We start from the raw sequence: 21,344 nt of genomic DNA, 5'->3' as shown, positions 1-21,344 counted from the left end.
TTTCTCCTGCCTCAGCGTCCCCAGTAGCTAGGACTACAGGCACCTGCAACCTTGCCTGGCTAGTTTTTGCGTTTTCAGTAGAGACGGGGTTTCACCATGCTGGCCAGGCTGGTCTTGAACTCCTGACCTCGTGATCTGCCCACCTCGGCCTCCCAAAGTGCTGGGATTACAGGCATGAGCCACCGCTCCCGGCCTACCAATTGTACTTTTTTTTCACCTGATCACTCAGGAAAGCAGTATGAAGCCCCTTTGTGTCTATGTTTGTGCACAGCAATTGTGTCTGCCTGCTGTGTGTGGGGAGTAATGATTGTATGCATGTGGTATGTTTGTAAGTACTTATGTACATGAATGTATGTCAGTGCATGTGCCCACAGTCACATATGCTTCTGTTTGTAAGGGCTTGTGTCCTATGTCTTTACATGTATGTGTATCTCAGGATTTACATGCAAGCCCATATGTATGTACTTTGTAACTTACATGTAAGATATATGTATGTGAATAGGCAAACCCATTCATGTACTCATGTACTTACAAACACAAATCCAAAGTGTGTCGGGATGCATACGAATACCCACATATGTGCTTATAGGTGTGTGTGCATGTGAATATTTGTGTATGTGCTGAAGGTTGTGAATATAAGTTTGTGTTGGTGCTTATGTGTATTTTAGTAAATAGCATCAATGGCTGTGCATCTGGGACATTTGTGTGTGTTTGTAGGAGTGTATGTGTGTACGTGTGTGTCTGTGTGTAAGAAAGAAGAGCAAAGATCTTCAGTGGATTTTTATCTTTGTGCCCATCACTTCTTTTTTTTTTTTTCGAGATGGAGTCTCTCACTGTCGCCCAGGCTGGAGTGCAGTGGCGTGATCTCGGCTCACTGCAACCTCCGCCTCCCAGGTTCAAGCGATTCTCCTTGCCTCAGCCTCCCAAGTAGCTGGGATTACAGGCACCCACCAACATGCCCGGCTAATTTTTTGTATTTTTAGTAGAGATGCGGTTTCACTGTGTTGGCCAGGCTGGTCTCGAACGCCTGACCTTTTGATCCGCCCACGTTGGCCTCCCAAAGTGCTGGGATTACAAGTGTGAGCCACTGCACCTGGCCTGTGCCCATCACTTCTTGAAGAAGAATGTGTTCTTCCCACAAATCAAGTTGGGAAAGAAGCAGGGACAGAGACATGTAAACTGAGAGGGAAAACTTTTATTAGTCACTTGTTCCTCCTCCATTCGCAGTGAATACTTACTAACATTTTAAAAACTGAGTATGCATTAAAAATGTGGTAGGGAAGCTATTTTTAAAAGCTTCCTTGTGTATCTGACTTTCTCAGGAAGACCTGGAGTTGAAGGGTCCAGACTTTCACCCACAGAATCTTGCTTCATTTACATTCCAACAAACTGCACATCCAAGAAAACGTGCTGGAAAAATCCCCGGCTTAGCTGTGTGTTTGCTGATCTATGGTTAAGAGTTGCCACTTGGACAGTTTTTAAAATGATGACGAGGACATTTTGCTGGTTCCGGAAAGGGAAGTCAGTGGACTCAATTCTGTTATTTTAGAAAGTTCAAATTATAGAAGGTTTGAGGTGGCGAGGCACTTACGCATCATCTAGTTTAACTTTCTTTCTGCATGGATGAGTAAAACTGAATGGGAGAGTTTCTAGGGGCTGGAGATAGGGCTGTGAACAAAATGAACAAGGTCTTCACGGAGCTTAAAATCTAGAGAGGGGGATGTGAATGCCTCATCCCTCATCCCATCTAGTCCAGCCACACTGCTTTCTTTCCACTGTTCCAACCTCTCTCCTGCCTCGGGGGCTTTGCACTTGCTGTAGTTCCCTTTTCCTGAAATATTCTAGATCTTCCCGGGGTCACTCCTTCTCATCATTGAGTTCTCAGCTCTAATATATATACTTTATTTTTTTTTTTTTTGAGACACAGTCTCACTCTGTTGCCCACGCTGGAGTGCAGTGGCACAATCTCGGCTCACTGCAACCTCTGCCTCCTGGGTTCAAGCGATTCTCCTGCCTCAGCCTCCCAAGTAGCTGGGATTACAGGCGCTTACGACCATGCCCAGCTAATTTTTTGCATTTTTGTAGAGATGTGGTTTCACCTTGTTGGCCAGGCTAGTCTTGAACTCCTGACCTTGTGATCTGCCCACCTCGGCTGCCCAAAGTGCTGAGATTACAGGTGTGAGCCACCACACCTGGCCTCAGCTCTAATATTAACACTTCCTTGTATACACGATCTAAAATACTCCCCACTTCTACAGTCATTTCCTAAAAGATCACTCTGTTTTATTGTCTTCATAACCTATAATGGTTAATTTTATGTGTCACCTTGACTGACCTAAGGGGTGTGCAGATAGCTGGCAAAAAATTATTACTATTAGAGTTTTTTTTTCTTAAATATAAAAGCAACCTATTAGTTTTCTGAAAGATCTTACACTTACACTCTAAACTTTGCACAAACCATGATGCATATATTTTTTGTTTGTTTTTAATTGACACATAATAATTGTACACATTTATGGGGTACAGTGTGCTGTTTCAATACCCGTATTCATTGTGCAATGAATAAATCATATTTACCATATCCATCACCTAATACATTTATCATTTCTTATATAAAATATTGTTAACCATAGTCATCCTACTGTGCAATAGCACACCAGAACTTTTTCCTCCTATCTAACTTTGTACCCACTGACCTACATCTCCCCATTTCCCTAACCTCCTACACTCCCAGTCTCTGGCAACAATTATTTTACTTTCTACTTATATGAGATCAGCATTTTAACATTCTACACATGAGAGAGATTGTGTGGTATTCGTCTTTCTGTGCCTGGCTTATTTCACTTAACATAATGATCTCCAGATTCATCCACATTGCTGCAAATAACAGGAATTTTCTCTCTTTTTTATGTGGCCAAATAGTATTTTATTGCCTAAATGTACTATATGTTCTTTATCCATTCATTCACTGTGGGATACAGGTTGATTCTATATCTTGGCTATTGTGTAAAGTGTTGCAATAAACATGAGAGTGCAGCTATATCTTTCATACCTTCATTTTATTTTCTTTGTATATATACCCAGCTGTGGGATTACTGGATCATATGGTAGTTCTACTTTTAATATTTTGAGAAACCTTAATACTGTTTTCCATAATGGCTGGCTGTACTCATTTGCATTCCCACCAAAAAGGTATGTGTTCTCCTTTCTCCACATCTCTGGCAGTGTTTGTTATTTTTTGTCTTTTTGATAATGGCTATTCTAACTGGGGTGAAGTGATACTTCACTGTGGTTCTGATTTGCATTTCCCTGATAATTAATGATGTTGAGCATCTAAAAAAGTATATTTGTAGCCACTTGTTTGTCTTGTTTTGAGAAATGTCTGTTCAGGTCTTTTGCCCCTTTTTAATTAGAATACTTACTTACTTTGCTATTGAGGTGTTTGAGTTCCTTATATGTTCTGGATATTAACCTCTTGTCAGATGCATAGTTTGCAAATATTTTCTCCCATTCTGTAGGTTGTCTCTTCACTCTGTTGTTTCCTTCATTGTACAGAAGTTGTTTCATTTAATGTAGTTTTGTTTATTCAGTTTTTGCTTCCATTGCCTATGCTTTTTAGGTCTTATCCAAAATATCCTGGCCCAGACCAACGTTGTAAAGTGTTTTCTATGTTTTCTTTTAGTAGTTTTATTGTTTTGAGTCTCACATGCAAATCTTTAATTCATTGTGAGTTGACTTTTTTATATGGTGAGAGATAAGGTCCAGTCTTATTCTCCATGTGGATATTTAGTTATTCAAGCATCATTTGTTGAAGAGACTGTCCTTTCCCATATGTGTGTTCTTGGTGCCTTGGTCAAAAATTGGCTGGCTTTAAGTGCATGGATTTATTTCTTTGTTCTCTATTCTCTTCTATTGGTCTATGTCTCTGTTTTTATACCAGTATCATGCTATTTTGCATATTATAGACTTGTAATGTATTTTGAAGTCAGGTAGTGTGATGCCACCAGCTTTGTCCTTTCAGCTCAAAATTGTTTTCTCTATTCTGGGTCTTTTGTGGTTCTATACTAATTTTATGTTTTTTTTCTATTTCTGTGAAGAATGTCTTTGATATTTTCATAAATATTCACTAAATCTGTTTATCACTTTAGGTAGTATTAACATTTTAATAATATTAATTCTTCCAATTCATGAACATGGGATATCTTTCCATTTATTTGTGTTCCCTTAAATTTTCAGTGAGAGTTTTTCCAAAAGAGATTAGAATTTGAATCAGTAGACTAAGCAAAGAATATCCCCCCTTATCAATGTGAGTTAGCATGATCCAAACCATTGAGGGCCTGAATAGAGCAAAAATGCAGAAAAATGGCAAATTCTCTCCCTCTCTCTCTCTTCTTGAGCTAGGATATACATCTTCTGCCATTGTATATCAGAGATCCTGGTTCTCAGGCCTTTGGACTTGAACTAAATTACAACACCATTTTTCCTTATTCTCCAGCTTGCAGACAGCATCTTGTGGGACTTCTTTTCCTTCCTCCATAATCTCATGAGCTAATTCCCATGATAAATCTCTTCTTACAAATCTCTATATAGTTATTGGTTCTGTTTTCTCCAGAGAACCCTAATATATAGCCTTTCTCACTAGAAAAAAACCCACTGATAATGTGCTTACATCTTTATCTTCAATCTTCCCTAAGCAGAATGGGAGCTCTAAAAAGACAAGAATCATTTTTTTTTCCATTACTGGCATTCACCAATTACTGAGCACATAGTAGATATTCAATAAATATTTGTTGGATGAATTAGTTAAGTAAAGCAATAAATGCATGATTTCCCAAAGTAATAGGCTTTATGAAGAAATTAAAACAACATAATGATATCTCCGAAGTATTCAAGGTAAGATATCAGTGGTTAAGAGTCAGCCATGTAAAGATAGAAGAGATGAATGTTGGCCCAGGGTGAGGATGAGCTTTATGGAGGGCAGTGTGGCTGTAGCACAGCAGGAAATTGGAGAGTTGCATGGATGAGCCAGACACAGGAGCCAGATGATATACCACAGGGGTCAGCAAATTCTTCCAGTAAACGGCCTGATAGCAAATATTTTAGGCTTAACAGACCGTATGGTTTCTTTTTCAACTACTCAAATCTTCTATTGACAGAGAAAGCAGCCATGAACATGTAAAAATGGGTGAATATGGTTTTGTGCCAATAAAACTGTCTTTACAAAAACAGGAATTGGGCTGGATTTGGCCCACAGGTCAGTTTGCAGACCTCTGATGTAGGGCTTCATAGGCAGTAGAAAGGACTTTTACTAATCTTCAGGGCATCAGGAAATCTTATAATCTGATTCACGTTGTTATCCATTTAGCTACTTTACGTCTTTCAATTGGAGAATTTAGTCTGTATACATTTAATGTTACTATTGATAGGTAATGACTTACTACTGATGAGAATACTGCACTCAGCAAAGCTTTTCTTCTTCAAATATGAGAGATAAATTCTTTCCCAGACAAACACAAGCTGAGGGAATTCATCACCCTTACACTTGCCTTCCAAGAAATGCTAATGGGAATTCTTCAGTATGAAATAAGATGATACTAACATGCAAAACTGATTTGCATTTTTAAAAATTGTCACTCTGTAGGCTGAGGAAAATGAAATGGAAGGGTGGGAAGAAGCAGGGAGAACAATAATCTTCTTTTCTGGGTAAGAGATGGTGGTTGCTTGGACTAAAGTTGTAGCACTGAGGAATTTTGTAGAAAGTTGGACAGGGTTGCACATTTCTAACTCCTTTTTCTGATTACTGATTTCCTTTCTTATAGGACAAAGACATCTCCAAAGACAAGTCTGGCTCTAGGCAAGAGGGCTGAATTAGTGAGCCTAGTGTTCTCTGGGCCCCCTTCCTACATTGTTAATTCAGGTGCCATCCACACGACAGGCAAGATGGTCACTGGCAGCCCCAAATTTACGTCCTACCAGTTTGGCAAGAAATCATCCCTCTCTCAAATCCAAATTAAAAGTCCCAGGAAGGAATCTAACTGGCCCAGCTTATGTCACATGTTTCTCCCTGAACCAATCATTGTGGCCCATTGAATGAGCTGCTCTGATTGGCCAGACTTTACACCGTGTGATAGTAGAAGCGGATCGGGACCGGTGTGGTGCCATCATGGAGAGTTCTGATACAAAAGAAGAGGGAGAGGATCCTGAGCAGGTCAGAACTCCAGATGTCCATGTGACAGGCCATGGCGTGAGAGAAGATTCATCTTTGCTAAGCTGCTGGCTCCTGCCAGGGGACGCAACAGGTGGAATGTTCAGGAAGAGAGAGGGAACTATTTCACAAGCAGCAAGACCTCAAGCAGAAGCAATGTTTGAAACAATGGCTGCTTCCAAGACCAGCCTTTCCCATGCTCAGGGGTGGAGGGGCTATTCAACCAATTGCCTGTGTCTGTTGCCAGGGGCAACAGCCAAATCCATAGACTCCCTTGTAGGAAGCCCCCACTTGTTTTAGCTCACTGGCTCAAAGACATATGTGTCCCTCCACTCATCTCTCCTTGATCATCCATGCAGGATTCTTATTTAATTGGATGCTGGCATTTCCGTCTGCTTTTTTTGATCTTGTTTAAAGGGAAACTTATCCTGGTTCTTAACAATCAGACCATTTGGTGAAACTGGCAGTGCTGTGGATTCAAAAAGACCTTGAATAGAATTCTAGCTGTACCACTTCACCAGTGTGCGATCTTGGACAAATTATTCGGCTTCTTTGGATCTTTCTTTTCTCAATGGTAAAAACTGGGTAGGTGTCATCTGTATTACAGCATTATTGTGAGGATGAAGTTGGAAAGTACATGCAAGGCACATGGCATAAGATTTGATATTTGCTAGGCCTTTAACAAATAGTGGTTCTGATGTTATTGTGATGATGAGGAAAATAAGGATGATGATCATGATGTCACCAGATCAATGCTAAACTGTTGACACTATCAGTCTTCTATTGTTTTTTTTTGACGGAGTCTCACTCTGTCACCCAGGCTGCAGTGCAGTGGCATGATCTCAGGACACTGCAACCTCCACCTCCTGCATTTAAGTGATTCTCCTGCCTCAGCCTCCTGAGTAGCTGGGATTACAGGCTCGCCCCACCACGCCCAGCGAATTTTTGTATTTTTAGTAAAGACAGGGTTTCACCATGTTGGCCAGGCTGGTCTCGAGCTCCTGACCTCAAGTGATCTGCCCACCTCGGCCTCCCAAAGTGCTGGGATTACAGGTGTGAGACACTGCACCTGGCCCAGTCTTCTATTCTACAAGGCTCCAAACTCACACCTAAAAAGGTGGTTGCTCCAAAATTTATGTGTTCCTTTTGCTTAGCAATTGGTGAGGGAAATCCCAGCCAGGATAGTAATTTATCAGCCAAGGTTGCTTCTGGCTTCTCAGCTGTGCAATCTCCCTGAAAACTTCAAGAGTCATGTCCGTGCAAAGTGGAAATACAACATCCAGCGGGGAAAAAAAAAAAAAAAAAACAAGAAAAAAAAAAACCCGAAAAAACAAAAAACCGAAAAACTAAGAGCAAGAGCTTTGGAGTCTGTCAGAATGGGGTTCAAATTCTGGTTGTACCATGAATTAACTGGTACTTTACCCTTCTGAGGCTAAGGTTTCCTTATCTATAAGATATATAGATAAAGATACATATATTATATATAATATATCTAGATATATAGATAAGATATATAGTATTATGTATATTTAATACTGCCTCATGCTATTGATTGAGTTAAATAAGATAATATTCTTAGTCAGGTAGTAAGTACTTAGCAGATACTCAAAGAGGTGTTAAGTGTTAAGCCAGAATTTGCAATGGAGACTGCCTCCCTCTAAATGTCATACCCTTTACACTTAACACTTTCATGTCCATGGGGTTGCTACTTCCTCCCTGTAAAATTTTAGGCACGTGACTTCCCCTTCTGGGTTTCTATTTGTTCAGCTGCACAAGGAGCCAGAACATTTTAAGCCTAGCCCTGCAATTCTCTGAGCAAGAGTTACCCAGAAAAAGAGGTAGATATTTGAATAATGTTTCATCTTTAATCTGGAGGGCTTTCTAGGTGACTGTCAGGGAGCATTTTCAGGGGTGTAGACGCCATGGATGCCTTTGGGAAGGAAGGGTCGATGCTACTCAGAGGCGAGCATTATCTGTGGGCTCTGCAGCAGCATTTGGGAGGCAAGGAGTTGTGTGCAGTAGTTTTGGTACAAGCTTTGCCTGAGGTGTTTGTCTGTACTCCTGGGCTTCTGCGGCCCTGGTGTCACGGACTCTGTGCATGAACACTTGAGCATCACTGGTGGAAACAGCACTGGGAGTGTGGGGAGTGATGGCCCTGGGAGGTAACAAAATCACAGTGCTCAAGATCAAGGACTCTGGGGTCAAATCCCAGTTTTATGCTGGCCGTCTGAGTGGTCTTGGTCAGATTGTTTAACTTCCTTGGACCTCAGTTTACTGGACCATAAAATGGATATCATAATGAACTGACATCATAGTTTTGTGCAGAGAATTGAATTAAATGCAGTCATTCAAATATTTGTTCAAGGTCTTCTATGTGTCAGTTACTCTTGAAGTGTAAATACAATGTCCCCTCTTCAAGAGCCCTACCATGACCACTGTATTGAAAATAAACACACCCCTCTGTTGTTACAGTTTATATCATGACCATCTAACATTATACCACATTGTACTGTATATAATTATCTTCTTTTCTCTGCATCCCACACCCCATCTACCTTTAGGCATAACAATGCTTTCAAGGAGGCCAGAGACCTCACCTGTCTTGTTCTCTGCTGTATCTCCAGCATCTTGCCCAGCACCTGGCAGAATGTAGGTGCTCAAAAAATATTTGTGGAATGAATAAAGGGAGAAAACGTTGGAAATCAGTATGCTGCAGTGAAAATGGCAAAGGCAAGCTCTGGGATCAGACAGACTAAGGTTAAAATCACTATTGGAGTTGCTAAGCTGGTAGTGTGTAAACCCAATACTGTTCACGGCCATTGATTCCACTGGAACCTGCCTGTCAGTAAAGCCAACCTGTGGGATGAAAGAGACAGAAACGCTCTCAGTTGATGCTGCTCGAGCCCCAAAACCTCCATCCCTGATGGTGGAATACCTCTTGAATTTTCATTTCATCAGTCAACAAATCCAGCAAATCTCCCTTTTGAGTTCAGTTGCTTATTTTGATTTAAGCGAGTTAACTTACACCACTTGTAGTCCAAAGAGGCTGGATTGAAACACATGTGCATTTTGTTGTCCCTGGGAAATAGGGGTGAGGCAACAGAGCAGAAAGGATAGCTCATTCAGCATAGAGTAGGGGGGGGCATACTTATTCTTTGTGAGTCCCACAATCACACTTCAACTCAGCGCTGATTGAAAACACAGGTGTGAGCTTGATCTATCTCTGCTCTGCCCTCTAGGGGGCTGTGTGATATTGAGTGACTCACTTACCCTCTCTGAACCTTAGCTCCCTCACCTATACAATGAACACGATGTTATCTGTCCCACAGGAGCTTCCTGATGATTCCATGTTAGGATGGTTGTGAAAGTTCAGTGCCTGGTGCATGGTGAGTCCTTATCCCCTTGCACCTAGGCAATCATCTCATGTTATAGCTTTCTGGGACTGCTGTGATAAATGACCACAAATTCAGTGGTTGAAGACAATAGATATACATTATCTCATGGTTCTGGAGGCCAGAAGTCAGAAACCAAGGCGTCAGCAGGGGCATGCTCCCTCTGAAGGCTCAAGGGCAGAATTCTTGCCTTCTCCAGCTTCTGGTGGTTCCAGGTGTCCCTTGGCTTATGGCAGCATCACTCCAACCTCTGCCCCCATCTTCACATGGCCTTCTTCATGTGTGTCTTTATCTGTCTCTTATGAGGATATTCACTGGGTTTAGGGTCCAAAATCCAATAAGATCTCACCTCACTCTTTACCTTAATCATGTTAGCAAAAACCCTATTTTCAAATAAGGACACATTCTGAGGTCTTGGCTGGACATGAATTTGAGGGGCAGCATTCGACCCAGTATACCCCATGAATGAAAAGTCCTGACCTCACGTCGAATATCCTCTTGTCCTTTATTCTGTGAGTTTATTATCCTCTTTGAGTGACTGATCTGCTCACATGGATGAGTTCCCATGAATCATACTCACTCTTTTGAGGACTCTCCCTTTTCAACAAGAGTTGAGTTCATGGGTGATTCAGCTCTCCACAACCTTGTGAAAGGGATTCTGTCCCCGAAGACCCCACCCCTGAGTGTGTTCATAGAAACAACGCAGTATTTAGAATCAGATATTTCATGAGTTTTAACTGTGTGCTCTTTTCTTAGAAGAGTCATTTAAATGTTGAGGTCTTCAATTCCTTGCACTCTAAAATGGAGATTCTGATAATAAATTCCGGCTGACCACACAAGATTGTAAAGAGGGCCAAATGCTTCGTAAATGGTTTGTAGACTGCAACAAAACTTTGTAAACTGTTAAGGCTGGGTTCAGGCAAAGGCGGGGGTGCACATTTTGTGGGGCTATATATGGATTTCTTGGCTCTCACACAGTTTTTAAATATCTTAATTTAAAATTCTTTAGGCTGGGTTCCCATTCTCCAGCTCATCATGTACTACATTACTCTGTTTTTCTCATTCACCTTTTTGCTTGGATTCTGGAGCCACTACTGTTTATGGCCCCTGGAGAGGAAACTGTCATGTCTGGGACCAATAACCTTTACTCTCTGAGCATCATCACCAGAGCCTGCACCCAACAGCACGAAGTGGCTCCTGCTTCTGCTCCAGCCAGGAGGGGGAAACACAGATGCACAGTTACAATACAGAAAAATAACACACAGCTTGTCGCCACTGAGTTCTCCATTGATTTTGCTTCCCAAAGATTCCTGAGGAATCCCGACACCCGGGTAGTAGGTCTGTTTAGAAGCCACAAGTGACTGATGCCAATGAATACCTTCAGGGCTACTGTCCTCCTTTGGTCAGCCTGCATTTTAGTGGTTGGGGATCAAAGCCACAGCTTTGGAAAGAGACAGCAAATGAGATGGCAAGAAGCTGGTAACAGCAGAAGATAGTGATGAAATATACTTTAACAAAAATGGGGGTAGCAGTAATAATAATAAATATTAATGATCATCTACTTGAACCAGGCACTGTGATTGACATTTTACATGCATTTTTCTCACTTAATGCTCACTATGGGAGCATCATTACCCTAAATTTAAGGATGAGGAATGTCTTACTTTGGGTTCCCCAAACTTGGTTTCCGAAGAAAATCCTAAGATAAGGATTCAAGTCAGGTATTTTAGAGATGATCCCAGGAAAAATCAGTAGGGGAATGGGGAATGAGACAATAAAGAGGAGGTAGAAATAAAGTATATATTTTATAACTCATTGCAATGGAGAGCACCTGAAGCTTAATTCCACTGGGAAAATTTCTGAGAAACAGTGTAGGCCCTAAACCTCGGAGCTATCCCTGTGATGGGAAAGGGAGCTGGGGTATTTATATACCAACTCCTGATAGTCCTTGGCTGAGGGCTGCACTTCTAGCCTGCCAAATCGGTGAACAAAGTGCTTTGGTGCCAAAGAAAGTCCTCAGGCATTGAATTTGGAGTTGCAAATTAGGTTGGTCTGCATTGAAGTTATAAGAGTGAGGGAACATGAGGGAGCACCAAGAATGATCTGCTATAGGAGGTTTATGTGTGTGTGTGTGTGTGTGTGTGTGTGTGGGCATGTATGCACATGCATATATCTGTGTATACATATACACTGGACACTGAGTTGAAAGGATTTAAGCACTGGACTGAAAGTAAGACTGTTGCTTTTGGAGTCTTTGTCATGAAGGCAGACATATGCAAGTGTATGTTCATCACAGTATTCTATTCACAATAGCAAAGACATGGAATCCACCTAAAATGTCCATCAACAGTGGACTGGATAAAGAAAATATGGTACTTATACACCATGGAATACTATACAGCCATAAAAAAGAGTAGGATCATGTTCTTTGCAGCAGCATGGATGAAGCTGGTGGCCATTATCTTGAGCAAATTAACACAAGAACAGAAAACCAAACATGGCGTGTTCTCATTTATAAGTGCCTAAACACTGAGTACACATGGACACAAAGAAGGGAATGATAGACATCAGGGCCATCTTGAGGGTGGAAGGTGGGAGGAGGATGAGGATTCAAAAACCATCTATTGGGTTCCATGCTTATTACCTGGGTGACAAAATAATCTGTTCATCAAACCCCTGTGATATGTGATTTACACATGTAGATTGCACATGTACCCTCTGAACCTAAAATAAAAGTTGGAAATTCAAATCAAACCAAATCATGATTTTATTCAAAATAATAGCAAAAAGTATTAGATTAAAAGCCCTTAAATTTCTGCTGAGACTTATCACATGACATGCTAATGTCAACAGAATGCATTGGTTAGGGCCAAGCATAGTGGTTGACACCTGTAATCCCAGAACTTTGGGAGGGCCAAAGCAGGAGGCTTGCTTGAGGCCAGGAGTTCAAGACCAGCTTGGACAACACAGTGAGATCCTGTCTTTATATATATATATCTTTATATATATATAAAGATCCTGTCTTTATATATATATATATGTAAAATTTAGCCAGGTGTGGTGGTACACACCTGTGGTCCCAGCTACTTGGGAGGCTGAGGTAAGAGGATCTCTTGAGCTTGGGAGGTCAAGGCTACAGTGAGCTGTGATCATGCCACTGCACTCCAGCCTGGGTGCCAGAGTGAGACTGTTATCTCAAAAAAATAGAAAAATAATGCATTTGTTGCTGGACCTTATCCTCACTAGATAATCTCTTCTGACCCTCATCATGATGCCAAAGACCCTCAGAAAACATTGGGACTCATGTTCAGAACAGGCTTCTCCAGTGATCACCTTCCAATCGTCAAAGTTCTGGCTTTGCAATTAACTCATTGAAGGCATTCTGTTTCTCAACATGAATCTACATCCTTTTCTTATCATCTCTTTACATATTTCTCATCCAATAGTGTTTTTTTAATCCAAAAAAGATTGTGTTATTAAAGTTTTGTGTGGAGCTGTGATTGCCATTCTTGGAACTGAAGATGCAATCAAGGGGAGAGAATTGATGCCTCATAATTCAATGAATGGATGTGCTTCTGTGGTAATTTCTTCAGTAATTACTTGTGTAAACTATGTGTTTCTGTAATTGAAATGCTACAGTGTGGGGCAATTTATCAAAATCCATAATTTATTATAGCTTTTTCATCTTGTTTCTTGGTTTCTCTGCTTTTCCTCATTAGAATGTTACCTCCTCACCAACACTTCAGTCCATCATAACCATTTAGACTAGGAAGCAAAAACATACATTGCCTTTGGAAAAAAGGTTCTGATGAACTTAGTTGAAAGTTTAAAATCCATTTTCCAAAGGACACAATTGTTATTTTTCTTTGCTGTATGTATTTTATGACAAGCTCTAAGATGTGATTTATGAAATGGCTTTGAAGAGATTGTCTACTTCAAGTGTTTAGATAATAATACCATTTTTCTTGTACTGTTACCAAGTATTCTGTATGTCTTGTGTTTATAAAAGCCCGAGAAAGGAGGCAGGGACTAGAAAGTGTATTTTGCCAGCAGAGGACACGCAATTACAGAGCAATTTGAGAGAAAACCTGTTTCCTGACCTGAGCTATTGCTTTGAGGCCATGGGATCATGAGAGGGGACAGCTTTTTAGTCCCATTCCAAGCCCATGCTAAAGCCACCCCAGTAAATTCAGGAGCTGTCCTTGGTTTTCACTACTCTTTCTAGTAGATCGCAGATAACAAGCAAAGTAGCTTGTGGTGTTTGAAGAACCCTAAACTCAAAAACAATTGAAAGAAAGTTTAGAGAAACTTCAACAGTCTAACATATTTTTAAAACAAAATATACTTATTTTATCATCATCAAAATTAAATACAAAAAAGATGAAAAAAGTAGAAAACACCATTTTTCTCCTCTGTCCAAAAGATAATTTACTATAGGTACAATATTTTGACATAGTTTCTTCTAGCGTTTTTCCTCTGCATAATTTTTATGTTACTTAATATTGTTTCAAGTTGCATAATTTTAAAACTTCCCCATGGCATTCAAAATAATCAGAAACATAGGTTTAAAGTTTCTTGAGGTTTCTGAGATATAATTTACATATGGTACAATGCATCCTTTTTGATGCATAGTTTTATGAATTTTGACAAACGTGTACCATAATCAAGATACAATTGTCCCACGGCCGCCAAAAATTCCTTTGTAAACCTTTGTGATTAACTCTCATCTTCATCCTCACTGCCTGGTAACCACGAATCTTTCTTCCATTCCTCTAGGAATACATCAGTTAATGACTGCATAATACAACAATAAGTAGTTACATCATAATTTTCCAAATCCTTACACCCCTATAAAATATTCCATTTATTCTAATTTTTTCTTCTTAAAATTTTTTCTTTCTTTCTTTTTTTTTTTGAGGTGAAGTTTCATTCTTGTCACCTAGGCTGGAGTGCAATGGTGTGATCTCGGCTCACTGCAACCTCCACCTCCCAAGTTTAAGTGATTCTTCTGCCTCAGCCTTCTGAGTAGCTGGGATTACAGGCAACTGCCACCATGCCCGGTAAATTTTTGTATTTTTAATAGAGATGGGGTTTCACCATGTGGGCCAGGCTGGTCTTCAACTCCTGACCTCAAGTGATTTGCCCCCGTAGGCCTCCCAAAGTGCTAGGATTACAGGCATGAGCCACCAGGCCTGGCCCTTAAATTTTTTTTTCTAGTATAAATTATACTATGTTAAACATTTTTGTGCATGTATGTTTTCCAGGATTTTAGGTCATTACCTTATTATGGGATTCCAGAAGTGGAGCTGGTATGTCAGAGTTATGAAACATGTTAAGCTTGACTCAAGAACCAGACACCAAATTAAGATCCTTGATGCTGAAAGTCCAGAGAAACTAGTAGTGGAGAAAGACTGTGGAATTTTGAGTAGTAGGACAACATTAGTGTGGGATCCCAGCATTTCTGATCATGCCACTATTCTGTTTAGCCATTAATAACTTCTCAACGACCCCAGAAAAGATGTAACTGTTTCACAGTTAAAATCTTTTATTATCTGACTATGCCTATTTCCACCCCCACACCCTGATCTATATCTGTAGCTATATCTATGGTATATTCTATGTGCCTTGTACATGCACATGGTGCAAGCTTCTCTCATGGCTACTGTCTTTGTACATTTTTGTTCTTCTTTCTGAAACACCTTCTTCCCCTTCCAGCGTCTTCTTCTTTGCTAGTCTTTTTAACCATTCCGCAATGCCGAGAAGTGCTGGGTGCCCTTGCTTTGTGTGTTCACAGTTCTTTATGCTTATCTCTATGTTAGGGCTTATTCGTTTGTTCTTATACTCCACAATTATATACTGAGAGTCTACAATGTTCTGGGTACTATAGACATGGCAGCCAATGAGAGAGACAAAATTCCTGTCAAAGGAGAAATGCCATTCTCACTGGGGAGGAGAGGATGCTGCAGCAGAGATTTAAATACTGAAAAGAAGTAGCCACAGGGATATGTAGAGGAAAAGTTATTTAGGCAGATAGAAAAACAAACGCAGGCCAGGTACGGTGGCTCATGCCTGTAATCCCAGCACTTTGGGAGTCCGACACGGACGGATCACGAGGTCAGGAATTTGAGACCAGCCTGGCCAACATAGTGAAACCCCATCTCTACTAAAAATACAAAAATTAGCTGGGGGTGGTGGCACGTGCCTGTAGTACCAGCTACTTGGGAGGCTGAGGCAGGAGAATTGCTCAAACCTGGGAAGCGGAGGTTGCGGTGAGCCGAGACCGTGCCATTGAACTCCAGCCTAGGTGACAGGGTGAGACTTCGTTTCAAAAAAAAAAAAAAAGAAAAAAATATGCAAAGTCCCTGAAGGATGGAAGTTCTTGGTCTATTGGACGAACAGTACAAAGGCTCAGTGCCTGAGTAAGAAGAAAAGTTATAGGAAGTGAAGCTGTAGTTAGCAGATCCAGATTATTCTAGGTCTTGCAGACCGTGAACCAGACTGGGCATTTTATTGCAAATATGATGGAACAATTAGAGCTATTTGATTAAGAGAGTTGTAAGATATGATTTGTGTCCTAAGAACATTATTCTGGCTTCTGGATGCAGAAGGAAAATTATGGAAGAAAGACTACCAAGAAGGAGGCCAGGAAAGCCTCATGGGCATGAAACAACAGGGGCCTAGACCAGGGGGCAGCAAACTTTTTTTGCAAGGAGCCAAACAGTAAGAATTTTAGACTTTGTGAGCCAAATGGTTTCTGTCACAACCACTCAATCCTGCCATTATAGCATAAACACAGCTGTAGAGAATAAGTAAACGAACGAGTGTGACTGTTTTCCAAGAACAGGTTGCTGGCTGGCTTGGGCTCAAGGAGCATAGTTTGTGGGTCCCTGGCTTAGGCTATAAGAGTTATAATGAAGGGAGTAATAAGTGGCCAGATTGAGCATATATTTTGCACATGGAGTGGGTTCTCTCAGAGACATCAAGATTTCTATTTTTTGACCTAAGAAATTTAAGATGCTCATTAGATGTCTACATGAAGATTTTGACTTAGGAACTGGAGAGTTGAGTTGGAAGCAGAATTTTATTTATTTATTTTTTGAGATGGAGTCTCACTCTGTTACCCAGGCTGGAGTGCAGTGGCACAATCTAAGCTCACTGCAACCTCTGCCTCCTGGGTTCAACCAATTCTCCTGCCTCATCCTCCAGAGTAGCTGGGATTACAGGCGCACAGCACCATATTGAGCTAATTTTTGTATTTTCAGTAGAGAGGGGGGTTTTACCATGTTGGTCAGGCTGATCTCAAAGTCCTGACCTCAAGTGATCCACCTGCCTCAGCCTCTGAAGGTGCTGGGATTACAAACGTGAGCCACTGTGCCCAGCCGGGAAGCAGAATATTGTGGAAAGGTTGGCGAGCAATGTTATTTCTGGGATCATCAACATATAGGTGATATTAAAAAGAATAAGAATAGATGTGGTCATCTAGGGAAAGATTTTAGAAGGCAAAGATAAGAGGAGAGGAGAAAGGAAAGGGAAAGAGAAGAGGGGAGAAGACAGATCAGGCTAACGACTACACCTTGGAACATTTCAGCACTTAGAGGTTGATATATGAGGAAGATCCAGCAAAAAAGACTGAAGGAGAGTTTCCCCTGAAGAAGAGTGTGGCATCTTTAAAGTCAGGGACACAGTGTTTTCACACAGGGAGATGTGGTCAAATGTGTCAAAGATTGCTGACAATTCTTGTAAAAAGAGGGTTGAAAATTAATAATTAATTTTGGCAACTTGGAAGTTATTAGCCATCTTGATAAGTCAATATTCTGTGGGCCTGGCATGGTGACTCACACCTGTAATCCCAGCACTTTGGGAGGCCAAGGCAGGCGGATCACCTGAGGTCAGGAGTTTGAGAGCAGCCTGGCCAACATGGTGAAACTCCATCTCTACTAAAAATACAAAAATTAGCCAGGTATGGTGGCATACACCTATAGTCCCAGCTACTTGGGAGGCTGAGACATGAGAATCACTTAAGCCCAGGAGGTAAATGTTGCAGTGAGCTGAGATCGCACCACTGCACTCCAGCTCAGGCAATAGAGCAAAACTCTGTCACAAAAAAAAAAAAAAAAAAGTGAAATGGTGTGGATAAGAGACATATGGAGATAGAATACTCTTGAATGTGGGGCATTGTGTTGTAAATGGTAAAAAGAAATGGGGTGGTGGTTGGAGGGAGATGTGGTATTAAGGGAAGTGTTCTTAAAAATGAGTTACCAGGCCAGGCGCGGTGGCTCACGCCTATAATCCCAACACTTTGGGAGGCTGAGGCGGGCGGATCACGAGGTCAGGAGATGGAGATCAGCCTGGCTAACACGGTGAAACCCTGTCTCTACTAAAAATACAAAAAATTAGCTGGGCGCAGTGGCAGGCGCCTGTAGTCCCAGCTACTCAGGAGGCTGAGGCAGGAGAATGGTGTGAACCTGGGAGGAGGAGTTTGCAGTGAGCCGAGATCGCGCCACTGCACTCCAGCCTAGGCGATACAGCGAGACTCTGTCTCAAAAAAAAAAAAAAAAAAAATTGAGAGTTATGGTAGCATGCATATAGACTTATAGAAATAATCCACAAAGAGGGGGAAATTGATGCAGAAGAGATGGGGGACAATTGAAGCAGTGATATCCTTGAAGAAGAAGGGGCTTTGCATAAGTGGAGGGGTTGGCTTTAGATAGACAGTCCAGCCAATGCAACAGGGAAGGTCAGAATTAGTCCCCACAGAGGCTTGTGTATTTGGTGGTGGGGGTGGGGTGATGAAGAGGTCCTTATACGAGAGGATGGTCATCAATTTTCTAAGATTGGAGAAGCATTGGAGGTTGGGAGAGAAGACACCAAGTAGTCATCTTGGAAAAATAGAAAGGCAAACTTTCTAGGGAAAACAGCAGAACTTTTCAGCAGGACTGTGGTCATAAGGGTAAGGAGAGGCCAGTAAGCTTGGTGTAAGTTTTCTCCAATCATTCTGAGCTGCCTAGGCTTCAGGCACAGAATAGGTGAAGTACTGGGTTTAATCTAGACGTGGCTTGCCTGGGGAACCAAAACGAGAGGAGATAAGAGCGTTAAAGGTGTCCCCAAGTAAGATACAGTGCTTGACTCTGAATCTAAACTGTGTGGGGAAGAAAGTAAGAGCAGACAAGGGATGATGAGTAAAGAGGTAGTCATGGGGGACCATGGATTAGATGTCTCACTGGTGGAGAAGAATGATCAGATGAAGGGGCCTCACAAGGGTGAGCTGGAAAAATAAGAGGATGTAATTGGAGAATGAAATGTTTAGGTTTGAGATCTTGGATCTGATGCACTCAAAGTCCTACAGAGTAATGAGGTAAGTAAGGGGCTGAGGTGGGGCAGAAAACCAGACTTTTGGAGGTAGGGGGCAAAAGACCTGAGAAGCGAGGGGATTGGATGGATAATTTATGTGGATATTAGACTCACGAGGATGGAAGACAGGAATAGCAGGGGACAGGAAGACAGTGATCCAGGTGCTGGAATCTTCAGGGAATGAAAGAGTGAGTGTCTGGGAAATCAGCAGAAGACTTTGAAAGCAGGATCTGTGGATGGTGAAGGTTTGGCATGGCCTTGAAAGAAACTGAAATGTTGGAAGCAGGAAGGAAAAGAAATTGTCAGAAGGCAGCCATGTGAAGCAAGGGGGACACTTTCCCAACTTTTGGCACATGAGGTAAAAACAATAACTGCTCTCAGAGGATAGTCATATTTTAGTTAGCGTTCACACACACACACACACACACACACACATACACACACGCACATAGTATTATTCCATCATACTGGCAAGAAAACTTAGGCTTAGTGAGATCAACCTGCCCACGGCCACAGGGCAGCAGCTTGGATTCAAGCCCAGGTCAGTCTGAGTCTGGAACCTCTGCTCTGGTTTGATGTGATTTGTGGCTCTCAACACCATGCTCCATTCATTTTTGCCAAAGTTTACTTCCTCCAGCTGTGTTTCCTCTGCTCTTATCCCTGTATCCCCCTCCTTCCAAGGTTATCACCTGAGGTTACCCAGAAGCCTCTGGACATTTGCAGCCTGATCTAGGGCTGGGCTTGTCCCAGAATCCTTGAATTTGTTCTTGGGGGTTAACAACCTATACAGGGCATTCACTTCTCCTCCATCCCATATTCTATTCAGAGCAGGGATAAGTTGGTAATGACAACTGGTTTTCATTCTCTTCGTGCTGACAGGGAGATAATGAGTCAAATTGGCCCAGGTTATGAAATGAAACCCTGGAAGGGAGTTATCATCAGACTCCTTAGAGGGGAGGCAGAAAAGGGGATTTAAATTCAAGTGTTAACTGCCGATTTGGTTGGCATTCAATCTCCTTAAGTATTTCTTCTTCTTCGTGTCATCACTAAATGAGACAAAGAAGGCAGCTGGTAAATGGGAGAAAGGTATGAAAGTGCTCGAGTACTGTGATAATTCATCTTTAATAGCTTTCATTTAGGCCCTGTGCCACACACTGAACATGAATTGTTCTAAATCCTTATAATAATTTTAAGAGGTGAGTATTCCCTGCCCCCCACACCGCCCCACCATTTCACAGGTAAGCAATTCAGTCCCGGTGGGATTACGCATCTTACTTGAGATTGCTCATACATCTCTGACTTCAAAATCAGTCCCCTCTCCACCTCATGGTGATCGCTCCTCAGGGACCCTGCTAATTTGCCTTGACTTTGTTTAGCAGCTAGAGGGAGAAAGGGAGGCCAAACCAGAAGGTCAAATCAAATTTCTTTGTGATCTTCTTCTTTTTCGTATCATGGACTCTAGTACTTGGCTGCCTGGGTTTAAACATCACCTACCAGCTGTGTGACCTCAGAAAGATTACTCGACCTCTCTGAACTGAGTTTTCCCCATCTGTAAGATTGGGGGAGTTATTGTGAAAATTAAATAATTTAAATATGGTAAGCACTTAAGATATGTGTCTGGCACATAGGAAGTGTTAGCTGTTACTTTTATTGTGGCTGCTGTTGTTTTTATTATTGCTGGTGTGATGGCATTTGTGTTAAGAGCTAATCATTTTCGGTGCCCTTACTGGGGTCCCAGGTTTGACTGGGACAAGCAATTTACATGTGGTAACTTAATTAACTCTCATTAGTTAGGATACTTTTGGGTACAATAATTGAAATTGCAACCCCAGCTGACTAAATGAGAGGTTATTCATTACTGCCTTCAACAGGAAACTCACAGGTAAGGCAAGTTTCAATGGAGGTTGATTCAGGGCATCAATGATAATACAAGACTCCAGGAAGCTCCTTTTTATCTTTCTTCTCTGCTTTACTCACTGTTGGCTTTACCCCTAGGCTGGTCATGAAGTGGGTGAAATAGTCCCAGGCATCATGTGGAGATCAGACAACATTCAGAAATGGAAGAGATTCCTTGAGAAAACTTTTCCCAGAAGTCTCTAGCAAGCGCCTGTTCTTGTCTCATTGGCTAAAGTTGTGTCACATGACCATTCCTGAACCAATGGAGGGAATGGGATTTTCTCCAGACCAATCAGGTCACCCTTGGAGCTACAGGTCAGGTTGGCCTCCCGCAAGCATCTGCCGACCTGGGAATGGTGCTGCCTGAAGGAAATCATGCTTCTTCTGTAAGGAAGGAAGAAAAAGGGAAGTGGTTCTGGGGGGGCAAAAACAAGGTGCCTAGGGTACACTATAGGTAGGTGGTGTTGTCACAGTCAACCCAAGTATCCCAGTAACGGCAC

General features: G+C 41.7%; 1 protein-coding gene across 2 annotated transcripts in view; it reads right to left on the bottom strand.

Moving 5' to 3' along the window:
- The window catches only part of SHISA9 (shisa family member 9), a 661,420-nt gene that overhangs the window by 11,077 nt on the left and 628,999 nt on the right, over nucleotides 1–21,344 (bottom strand). The window lies entirely within an intron of this gene.

Source organism: Homo sapiens, chromosome 16, assembly GCF_000001405.40.
Source record: "Homo sapiens chromosome 16, GRCh38.p14 Primary Assembly".
NCBI lineage: Eukaryota > Metazoa > Chordata > Mammalia > Primates > Hominidae > Homo > Homo sapiens.
The sequence above is the reverse complement of the archived record's forward strand: the minus strand, read 5'-3'. Positions and strand labels throughout refer to the sequence as shown.